The sequence below is a fragment of the Homo sapiens genome, chromosome 17 (assembly GCF_000001405.40).
Source record: "Homo sapiens chromosome 17, GRCh38.p14 Primary Assembly".
Classification (NCBI taxonomy): domain Eukaryota; kingdom Metazoa; phylum Chordata; class Mammalia; order Primates; family Hominidae; genus Homo; species Homo sapiens.
Window position 1 is genome coordinate 62,797,761 of NC_000017.11, and position 10,738 is coordinate 62,808,498.

The 10,738-nt window shown below is 47.3% G+C and overlaps 1 protein-coding gene across 15 annotated transcripts in view, besides 1 other annotated feature; it reads right to left on the reverse strand.

Annotated features, from left to right (window-relative positions):
* The window catches only part of MARCHF10 (membrane associated ring-CH-type finger 10), a 107,001-nt gene extending 96,447 nt beyond the window's left edge, over nucleotides 1-10,554 (reverse strand). For 9 of the 15 annotated variants that reach the window (XR_934406.4, XM_005257102.4, XM_005257100.4 and 6 more), the window contains exons 1-2: nucleotides 10,317-10,554; nucleotides 3,886-3,992 (exon numbers count right to left, since the gene is read on the reverse strand). Coding sequence is in view for 14 of the 15 variants with exons in the window: in XM_005257102.4 (XP_005257159.2) it covers nucleotides 3,886-3,975 (90 nt within the window). In the remaining variant the exon portion in view is untranslated. Of the gene's footprint in view, nucleotides 1-3,885; nucleotides 3,993-7,139; nucleotides 7,288-8,669; nucleotides 8,881-10,316 lie in introns of those variants that run through there. The other 6 variants (XM_011524436.2, NM_001100875.3, XM_005257096.3 and 3 more) reach the window with 3 other exon arrangements.
* Nucleotides 10,443-10,592: a silencer, noted in NCBI's record as "silent region_8813". NCBI's record gives its function as "represses an Ori minimal core promoter by ATAC-STARR-seq in GM12878 lymphoblastoid cells {active_cell/tissue: GM12878}" and the evidence as "EXISTENCE:reporter gene assay evidence [ECO:0000049][PMID:35858748]".

Sequence of the window (10,738 nt, forward strand, 5' to 3'; positions counted from 1 at the left end):
TTCAAGGAAACAGTCTGACAGATGGCAGGACTGGATGCTAGGAGGCCAGTTATAAGGATATTATAATGGTCTTGGACAGAAATTAGGGAAGTTGGAACCATGGGGTGGCAACAGGGTAAAAAGGAAGGCACAAGTGCGTGAGTTCTTAGGTATACTTGGCAGGACTTGGTAACTGGTGGGATGGGGATGAGGAGGGAGAGGAAGAGACAGGGAAGGCTTAGACCATAGGAGGGGCAGCAGGGAGATGGACATGGGGATACAACCATGGACATATTTGATTTCAGCTGCCTGTGTGACATCCAGGTAGACATAGCCAACTGGGAAATACACATATGACTCTGATGCTCTGGGGAGACCCAGGATTACAAGTCTTAGTATAAAGTGGTGGTTGAACCATAGCAGAGGATGAGATGAGTCACAGTGACCTTGTGAACTAGAAAAAAATTGGGCTGAGATGGAACCCTAGGGAAATTAACATTTGAGAGCCAGGGAGATGAAGAGTACATAGAAAAGAAAATGGAGAAAAATGTGAGAGAAACAGGAAGAAAATCAAGAGAGTGTGATGTCAGAGAGCCAAAGGAGGCTGGATATGGAGGCTCATGCCTATAATCCCAGCACTTTGGGAGGCTGAGACAGGAGGATGACCTGAGGCCAGGAGTTCGAGACCAGCCTGGGAAACATTAAAAAAAAAAAAAAAAAAGAAAGCCAAAGAGTCATGTTTGAGAAGAAAGGAGTAATAACGTCAAAGGTAGTTAAGACTGCAGAAAATAAAGACTGGGAAGGAGCCCGGTGAATTTGGTTACTGACGTTAGCAGAAGAATTTCAGGAGAGGAGAGCGGAGGTGATGGTCGGGCTGAAGCAGGCCAGGGAATCCATGGGAGGGCAGGAAGCAGAGACAGAAATGGAGCTGGCTGTTTGGGGACATCTGGGATGAGGCAGGAAGAAGCCAGCGCTGCAGCTAGAGAAGGACACGATGTCTACAGAAAGCTTTGCTCTTTTGTTCTTAAGATGGGAGAGACTTAAGCACGTTCGTGGACTGAGCCAACAAGAAAGGAAATGTCAAAGCTACCAATGAGAGGCCTGTGGATGGCAGGGGCTGGAGAGCAGAGGGCCTCAAATCAGGATCTCAGGCTGGGTACCAGCAGGAAGAGGGTCACTTCATCCTCCAAGATGTGGGGACTAGATGGTGTGTAGCCTGGAGCGAATGGGAGGAGGCTGAGTGGGTTCTCACCTGCCGGCCTTGGGGTCTTCATTTTGTTTTGTGTGAGTGTGTGAAACCCGGCAGGGAGTTCTTTGTTGAAACTATGGAGGTTGGAGGTTTGAAAAGAGTGAAAAGGTTTAAAATCGTGATGATAACAGAGGGAGCTGATGGACAAGTAAATGTGTTGACGTGAGTCATCCTTCATTCTTTTCTTTCCCTCACTCCGCCTCTCCATCTATCAGCAAGATGTCTGTTCTGCTTCTATTTCCTGGGCCGGGCCACTTCTCACCACCTCCACTCCTACCACCCCGGGCCAAGTCACCAGAATCTCTCTCCTGAATTTCTATCATAGTTTCCTTACAAGTTTTCCCGCTTCTTCTCTTGCCCCTTCTAGTCCTTTCCATATACCGCAGCCAGAGTGACCCTTAATACAACATAAATCAGATCATACTATTCCCCCACTTAAACCATCCAATAATTCTCACAGTGATAAGAATAAAATTGGGCCAGACACAGTGGCTTATGCATGTGATCCCAGCACTTTGGGAGGCCGAGGCGGGCAGATCACCTGAGGTCGGGAGTTTGAGACCAGCCTGACCAACATGGAGAAACCCCGTCTCTACTAAAAATACAAAATTAGCCAGGTGTGTTGGCGCATGCCTGAATCCCAGCTACTTGGGACGCGGAGGCAGGAGAATCGCTTGAACCCAGGAGGCAGAGGTTGCGATGAGCCAAGATCGTGCCACTGCACTCCAGCCTGGGCAACAAGAGCACAACTCTGTCTCAAAAAAAAAAAAAAAAGAATAAAACCTAAATGCCAAGCTATGTTCTGTGAGACCCAGTGTGACACTTCCGTACTTTCCCTGGGTTCATGTGTTCCAGCCCCTCTGGCTAACTTTGGTTTCATCCGGGCTGGTTCCTGCCTCAGGGCCTTTGCACTGTCTCTTTCCTTCCGATTGGGAAGCTCTGGGGGGATCTTTCCCATAATTCACCTCAACAGTCAAGTGTCACTTCCTCAAAGAGACCTCCCCTGCTTCTAAGGGATCACCGCCTCCAACCCCTTAACCTGTTTTATTTTCCTCATTGTATTTATCAATAACTGAAACTACCTTACACATTTCTACTTGTGTAAGTCCTTCCCCCTCTTAATCTTAGAATAAGAATTCCAGGAGAACAGAGGCTTTGTTCAGCACATAGTAGGCACCAAATAGATATTGGCTGAATGAATGAATGAAAAGGCAGTGTTAAGAGCCCAATGGAGATTAGAAAATAAAACGGCAACGGCTCAAAGCCACACAGTTGTGTGATTTTCTTCAACAAGGACCATAAAACTATAAGATTGATTTTTTCCTACATGCCTGTTCTGGAGACAATTTCAAACAGGAGCCGGGTGGCAGAGGCATCTTTGTGAAAAGCAGTTAGACTCCCAGGGCGACCAGTGTGGATGTTTATGTTCTTATTTATTTTGCAGAAATGCCCTCGATTTTCTCGTCTTCTTATACGTGGGTTGGCACGTTGTGGGAGGAAATTGCTGACTCTGTTTCCAGCCCTAAAGCTAAGCCGTATTATACAGGTGAAATCAGGTTACTGAGACAGGTCTGGTTTCCTTGGTGACCTGGGAGCTTTAGTTATATTTGAAATTGCTAAGAAGGGGAAAAACCTGATAACAGCAGTTCTGTGTTTTCCTCAGGGAAGGAGCGCTTTTCAATCCTCAGCCCAGGCTGAGGACGTGCCTTCCTGATTGGCAAGGGCTGAGGTCCCACCTCTGGTGGGATGACTGACACTTTTTACCTGCTCCCAGGATCCCACAACCTAGTCTGGCAAGTTTGTCCTATGCCAGCTCCGGGTGACTGCAACCTCAGGATTCCTCAGGCTCCCTGTGTGTTTTGGTTTTGCACGTAAACACTGTAACTAGGGGGACCAGCAGTTAGCTCATTGTAAAATGTGCAAACCACCTTTCTTCTGGTGGGGATGACAACGAAGGGCGTGTTATTTTACAAATGGTAGGGCGACCCAGTTAACTCTTTCATGTTTTCTTTCCTTCTCAGTTGGTTTGTCAAATTTAAGCCCTAATGCCACTGGTGGACAAGGGCTCCATGCCGAAAACTGAGGGAAGTACTTTTACAGTGTTTATTTCATTTCATTTTCATGATAATACTAGAAGTGGATACAACCATTATCCTCGTTTTTTTGTTTTTGTTTGTTTGTTTTTGAGACGGAGGAGTCTCGCTGTGTTGCCCAGGCTAAAGTGCAGTGGCGCGATCTCGGCTTACTGCAACCTCTGCCTCCCGGGTTCAAGCGATTCTCCTGCCTCAGCCTCCCGAGTAGCTGGGACTACAGTGCCACCACGCCTGGCTAATTTTTTGTATTTTTTGTAGAGACAGGGTTTCACTGTGTTAGCCAGGATGGTCTCGATCTCCTGACCTCATGATCCGCCCGCCTCGGCCTCCCAAAGTGCTGGGATTACAGGCATGAGCCACCGTGCCCAGCTATCCCCGTTTTTTTTTTTTTTTTTACAGACGAGGATACAGAGAGGTGAAGTGGCTTTTGCTAGTTACATACCTAATCGGTGGGTTTGGATTTTAGAAAACTTTTACTGCTTATCATACGTTGATGCTGTATTCTGAATTCTCTCTAAATACTGCAAGAGAAGGCAGAAGACCATTCTTGCTTTCTGCAATTACCTGATACTCAGAGTCCACCTTATGCTGCATGTCCCGCAGATACTGAACATCGCTGAAGAACTTCTGCCTGTCCCTTGCGTCATGCAACATGATTCCTAATCCCTGACCTGCACAGAAAAGATAAACAAATGTGCTGTGTTAGAGTCCTTTGTCGTGATGCCGTATTTGGATTTATTTTCATCTAATTGCTTTTATTTGTGTATTCATCTAATTTCCCTTGTTTGAAAGGCACAGATGCTCCTTTCAAGCTGAAGGGACTTCTTGTGTTGCTGTTGATGCCCTTACAGTCCTCCTGTTCCAGGCATAAATAATGCAGCCACCTTCATCAAGCACTTCAGTGATCCTGTCCTGGTTACTCAGAGGGAGTTAGATTGACAGACACCTGATTCGGTTCTAGAGCATGACAAAAAGGAAAACCTGAGAGCCTAGCTAAATAAGCAGTGACCAAAGTTACAGGCCCCTGGTTACTTAAATTCATTTATGCAACAATGATTGCACCGTTATTTCCATCCAGGGACTGTGCTGGACACTGGAGTATAGCAAGCAGCAAAGCAGACACGACCCTCATCTTTGCTCTTTTTTTCTTTTTTCTGAGACGGAGTTTTGCATTTGTTGCTCAGGCTGGAGTGCAATGGCCAGTCTCAGCTCACTGCAACCTCCGCCTCCCGGGTTCAAGCGATTCTCTTGCCTCAGCCTCCCTAGTAGCTGGGATTACAGGCACCTGCCACCACGCCTGGCTAATTTTTGTATTTTTAGTAGAGACAGGGTTTCATCGTGTTGGCCGGGCTGGTCTCGAGTTCCTGACCTCAGGTGATTCACTCGCCTCAGCCTCCCGAAGTGCTGGGATTATAGGTGTGAGCCACCGCACCTGGCCTGTGTTGCTTATAATCCAGGGTGCGAGACTGACTTTGAGCAAGTGAATCCTAACTATGATAGGCCCTCTGAAGCAGAACTATGCGGCTCTTTGAGAGCGTTATTATGGGAGGGCATAACCTGGTCTGGAGGGGTCAGGCAAGGTTTTCCTTAGGCAATGACACTGGGTTTGACAGAGTGAGCTAGCTGAGAAGTGGGACAGAGAGGACAGCAGGTGCAGAGGCTTCAGGCATGAAGGAGCAGGTGCAGATGAGGCAGACGGGAGGGAAGCAGTGCAGCTGGAGCAGAGATGAGGAAGGAACAGCCCCGGAAGGGCTGCAGGGGAGGCAGGGGCCAGCTCCCATGGGGCCTCAAAGGTCATGATTCAAAGAGTCATGGGAAACTCCTGAAAGCTTCCAGTCTGGGAAGTAAATGATTAGATTCGTGTTTTTATTTATTTGTTAATTCTTTTTCTTAGAGACAAGATCTTGCTCCGCCATCCAGGCTGGAGTGTAGTGGTGTGATCATAACTCACTGGGTATAGTGGCTCACGCCTCCCGAGGTGAATCACTTGAGCCCAGGAGTTTGAGATCAGCCTTGGCAATATAGCAAGACCATTTCTATTTAAAAGAAAATTGAAAATTAGCCAGGTATTGTGATGCATGCCTATAGTCCTACCTACTCAGAGGCTGAGGTGGGAGGATCGCTTCAGCCCAGGAGTTAGAGGCTGGAATGAGCCATGGTCATGCCACTGCACTCTAACCTGGGCAACAGAGCAAGACCCTGTCTGTATTTAAAAAAAAAAAAATTGTATTTTAAAAAGATCCCTCCAGTTGCAGTATGAGAATGGATGGGGTGGGGGTGATGGTGGTAGAGTAAAACAAAGAAGTGGGAAGACCATTGGGAATATTTCATAGTAATCTAGATGTGATAAGATGGCAACCAGCATCGGGTAGCAACAGTGGAGAGAAAAAGGAGGAGGAGGTGGAGGACAGTGGGGAGGGAGAGGGGATCATAGCTACTCTTTTTTATTTTTTTTTGAGATGGAGTCCTGCTCTGTCGCCCAGGCTGGAGTGCCGTGGGGCTATCTCGGCTCACCACAACCTCCGCCTCCCAGGTTCCAGCTATTCTCCTGCTTCAGCCTCCCAAGTAGCTGGGATTACAGGCACGTGCCACCACACCCGGCTAATTTTTTATTAGTAGAGGCGAGGTTTCACCATATCGGCCAGACTGATCTTGAGCTCCTGACGTCAGGTGATCTGCCCACCTTGGCCTCCCAAAGTGCTGGGATTACAGGCATAAGCTACTGCGCCCGGCCCATAGTTACTCTTTACCGACCCTCTGGAAGGGATAGGCCTTGTTCTAAGCAGTTACATCAATTAACTCATTCAATCTTCTCAACAACGCAGTGAGGCCAGCACTAGATCTCTATTTCGCAGGTGAGGAAACTGAGGACCAAAGGGATTAAGTAACTTCCCTAAAGTTACGGAGCTAGTGAGGGGAAGAGTCGGGATGTGAACCCGGAGACTCGCTCCAGTACCCACACTCTTAACCAAGGGATTCAAGGGATGCTCAGGACAGAAAGTCATCAGGGCTTGCGATTATATGAATGGACCAGGGGTGGAAGTCTCAGGGATGCCCAGGTTACTGGCTTGAGCAGCCAGTGGGTTGGTGCCAGCATTCGCTTCAGAAAACACAGGAGGAGCTGCTTTGTGAGGAGACAGCATGGCGTCACAAGTGTCTGCGGTGCGGCAAACGGAGATGTCAAGTGTGCTGTCAGACGCAGGGCTCTGGAGCTGACCGGAGAGGTACAGATTTGGGCACTGCTGGCATTCTGTGATAACTGAAGTTGAAGGAAGAATGGGAACGAAAAGAGAAAGAGGACACAGGGACAAAACCTCGTGAAGAACACGAATATTTAGAGAACAAGCCGCTGAAGAGAAACTCTGCGGAAAAAAAAGAAAAAGCCAGAGAGGCAGGAAGAAACCAGGTGGGTGCCGTTTCAGAGATGCCCAGAAGAGAGGGTTTCAAAAAGGAGGCTATTAATAACCTTGGTGAGAGCATTCATTGGAGTGACGGGGCTGGGAGGGCTGCAGAAGGTTGCGTAAATGGGAGGCAAAGGCGTGGAGATCATGCTTTCAAGAAGTTTGGCTTTGACTGGCATGGCCCAAATTTATGGCCAAGATATCTAAGCTCACAAAGGGATAAAATGGCACTGTTAATAACGACCCCTCATCTATGGGGTCATCAAAGCCCCCACACTATTCCTGTTTGTTGTCTACTGAAGCTCTTTCATTTATTTCTACACACACACACACACACATATTTTTTACAACTGCTGTGTGTGACAAGGGCTGCTAGGCTCTGGGGAAACATCAGGATGGGACAGGCGACATCTCTACCTTCAGGTGTATACGTTCTGCGGCATTCCCTCGCTCCTCCTGTTTATTCAGTTGTGCAGATATTGGCAGAGTCAGGCCGCCCCGGACTCATGGTGACCCAGCGTCTGGTCTGGTAGTTATGAAATCTCACATGGTTTATCATCTGGCCCTGAACAATGGGGAAAACTTGTGCTCGTCTCTTGGGGGCTATTTTCTCTGGAGTATGGAAAGTTGGTCTTTTGACAGTCAGAATCTGAAACTACAATCCAATGTGTATTTCCAGTCTACACACAAAACATACATTTTGTCTCTAAGCATTTTAATAATCACTTATGGGACTATGTTTTAAAAGATCACTTTTAGCTTTTCATCTGAATGTGTACCTGCATAGAATGAAGTTACCTTTGCACTCTTTTCAGAAAACGATGGTGTTAAAACAGGCAGAAGGATAAGCTCCTGCTGCTACTGTGGGAAAGAGAAGCCTGTCTGAATCTTATTCAGGCAGAGACCATAAAGACTCATAATAAAAATATGTTAATGGTCACTAAAGGGGAGCATCCCAGAGTCCACTTGGATGATACATTTTGGTTGCCAAAGTTAATATAGAAAGCCGGTTAATCTATCACGGCTTTAGAGCAGGGTTAATTTAAGGAGGCTTCTAAGTCAAGAGGCATGAAATAACTTTGTCTAAATAGGAAGTAGCACCCTTTGAATTACTTGCTAAGTTACCTCTGACTTCACAATCACCTACCAAATAAAGGACTTTAAAATGCCTGTAATCCCAGCACTTACAGAGGCCAAGGCAGGTGGATCACTTGAGGTCAGGAGTTCGAGATCGGCCTGGCCAACGTGGCAAAACCCCATCTTTACTAAAAATACAAAAATTTGCTGGGCGTGGTGGTGCACTCCTGTAGTCCCAGCTACTTGGGAGGCTGAGACAGAAGAATCACTTGAACCTGGAAGGCGGAGGTTGCAGTGAGCCAAGATCGCACCACTGCACTCCAGAGAGAGACTCCATCCCCTCAAAAATAAAAAAAAATAATAATAATAATAATAAAATAATAAAAATAAAATTGCCTACAAAAGTCTCTCTTCCTTCCCATAAACTCTCTATTACATTGTATTTTACAATATTTAGAAACATCGTGGTGCCACATGTAATTTTTTATTTAAATACATCAAGTCTTCATGAGATTAAACAAATATTACGGGAACCAAGAAAACGGTATTAGTGTCAGACCAAGAAGATGGTGGGTTACCTCAGTATAAGCAAACATTCTCTGTGTTTGCTTGAAGTTCATACTGCACTCAGTCAGTTTGAAAAACTGACCAGGATGAACAAGAAACAGAAATAACAGTATGGAAATAAAACTACATGAGATAATGCTTAATTCATGGATCTCAGCTTTGTGGGCCTACTCAACCAGATGGCCACTTGAAGCCAAGAATTTTTCCCCAGCAAACACAGAGGGTTGGGGTGGGGGTGATAATAAAATGTGAGCAAGGCGCATGTTTCTAAAATAGCACTCTGTATTCTCTTCTATCGCTCACCTTTGAACTGCTTCTTAATTTAAAACCCACTCATGGTTATGCACACTTCTGTTTTAAGTCTTTCTGGTGATAATGTCTTGTGCCAAATCTGTGCTTTAGAAATCAACATAAGAAGCCATATTAAGTAGGGAGAGAGAAAGGAGGAGGGAGTTGGAGGCAGGTGGAGAAGGAAGGAGGGGGTCCTGCCTTGCTGAAAGCAAGAGCGAGTAATTCTTCTTGGCCTCAAAATTCTACATATCTGTGAAATTTTAATGGGGGAATATTCTAAGAACTTTGTGACATACACGTTCTTCTCTAGTGTAATTTTCCAGTGAATTCCAACCAAGTTTTCCTGACTGAGGGGAACAGAATCTGATTGCAGAATGTTTTTCAGTGCTCTAAAAGTCATGCATACGTACCATCCCTCTGTTTTATGACCACATTTGTCAAAAGAACTGATTTGAAGGAGCCTGTTCTTAATAACAATCAAAGTCTTATTGGTTTCTTACTATGTTCTCATAAGAGAAAGACATCACTAAAGTTAATATGCTGTTAAGCAATAAAGGAAATGTAAACAATCTAACCTCCTCCTTAGACGGAAGGTTGCTTTGAAATAAAATCTAAATGGCTATTGTTAATACCGGACAATCAGGCTCGAAAATTACTCCCTTTCCACAATTAGGTGATTGGAGAAGGATTTCAGGAGACCTTATTCAACCTTTTCCCCAATTGATTAATTTGTAATGTCAGACATTATAGGATTTGTTTAAATCTTAGCTCTAAAAAAAACTTTGCATTTTAAAGTCTTAGCTTATAAACATGTCTTGAGTATAAGCAACAAAGTTTACGATTTGGGCCCAATTTAAGAATACTGTGACTGCAGAGAAAAAGGGGGAATTGGTTGGGAAAGGTAAGGAGATCTTTCAACTCTTCCAGCCAATTTGGCTTAAGAGTTGGGGGCGGGGTGGAGGGTGGGGAACAGACTTGTGTTTGGCGGTGACTCTTCATTTTACTGTGAAACTAGGAGAGATAGGTGGTCACATTTCGACCATCAAGCCCAGAAGAGAGGAGAAACTCAACGTGTAATTGGGAAACTCTGGGGGAGGAAACGTCACAGGTTTGACAAGCAATTCAGTGCCATCATTAATAACAATATCCAGCCAGAGAAACATAACGAGACCCCTTCTTTACAAATAATTTAAAACATTAGCCAGACATGGTGTTGGCCTGTGGTCCCAGCTACCACCGGGAGGCTGAGGCGGGAGGATCGCTTGAGCCTGGGAGGTCGAGGCTGCAGTGAGCCCTGACTGCACCGCTGCACTCCAACCTGGGAGACAGAGCGAGACTCCTTCTCAAAAATAAACAAAATCAATATCGACCATTTCGCATTCAGAAGCCCAGTGGGCCATGGTCTGTGTATACCTTTTCTGACCAGTGGCGTCTGCAGGAAAGAATGTGGGTGCCAGTGAGCAAAGGTTCACGGTCTCCCCCAAACCTGTCCCTCTGAGACAGAAAAATGCTGGGGCTGGGGTCAGCCGAGGGGAGGGGACGGCCAGGCCACCGGATGTCAGGCCCGGTTTCCCTCCAGAATCTTGTAAGTCGAAAGGGAAGGTTGTCCCCCATCCTGGGAGAACTGGAGCGGAGCGGCGGGGGCGAGGGGGCCGTTACCTGTGGGTCTGCCCTTCCTCCCCTGCCGGGGCTACAGGGGTCGAGGGGCTGGGCGGGCGGGCCGGTCCAGGGCGCAGGAGCCGCCCATTAATTGCGCGGGGACGGCCCTGAGCTCCTCTTCCTCCTCCTCTTTTTGCTTCTTCACTCCCTACACCTGCCCCTCTTCCTCCTCCTTCCCCGAGGCTGCTTTCCGCGGCGCCGGCCGGCCTTGCCTGGGGCGGAGGCGGTGGGGGCGGCTACCGGGCGTCCTCCGGTTTCCCTAGCAACCGCGCCTCCCCGCCCCCGCGCGACCAGGTGCAGCCGCCGAGAGCACGGGGCGGGGCGGGGCGGGGCTGTGGCCCCGGGGTCCCAAGCCAGTCGTGGGCGCCCGCCGGTTGCCGTGGGAACGAGGCGGGCTGCAGTCGGGGAGTCAGAGCCACGCT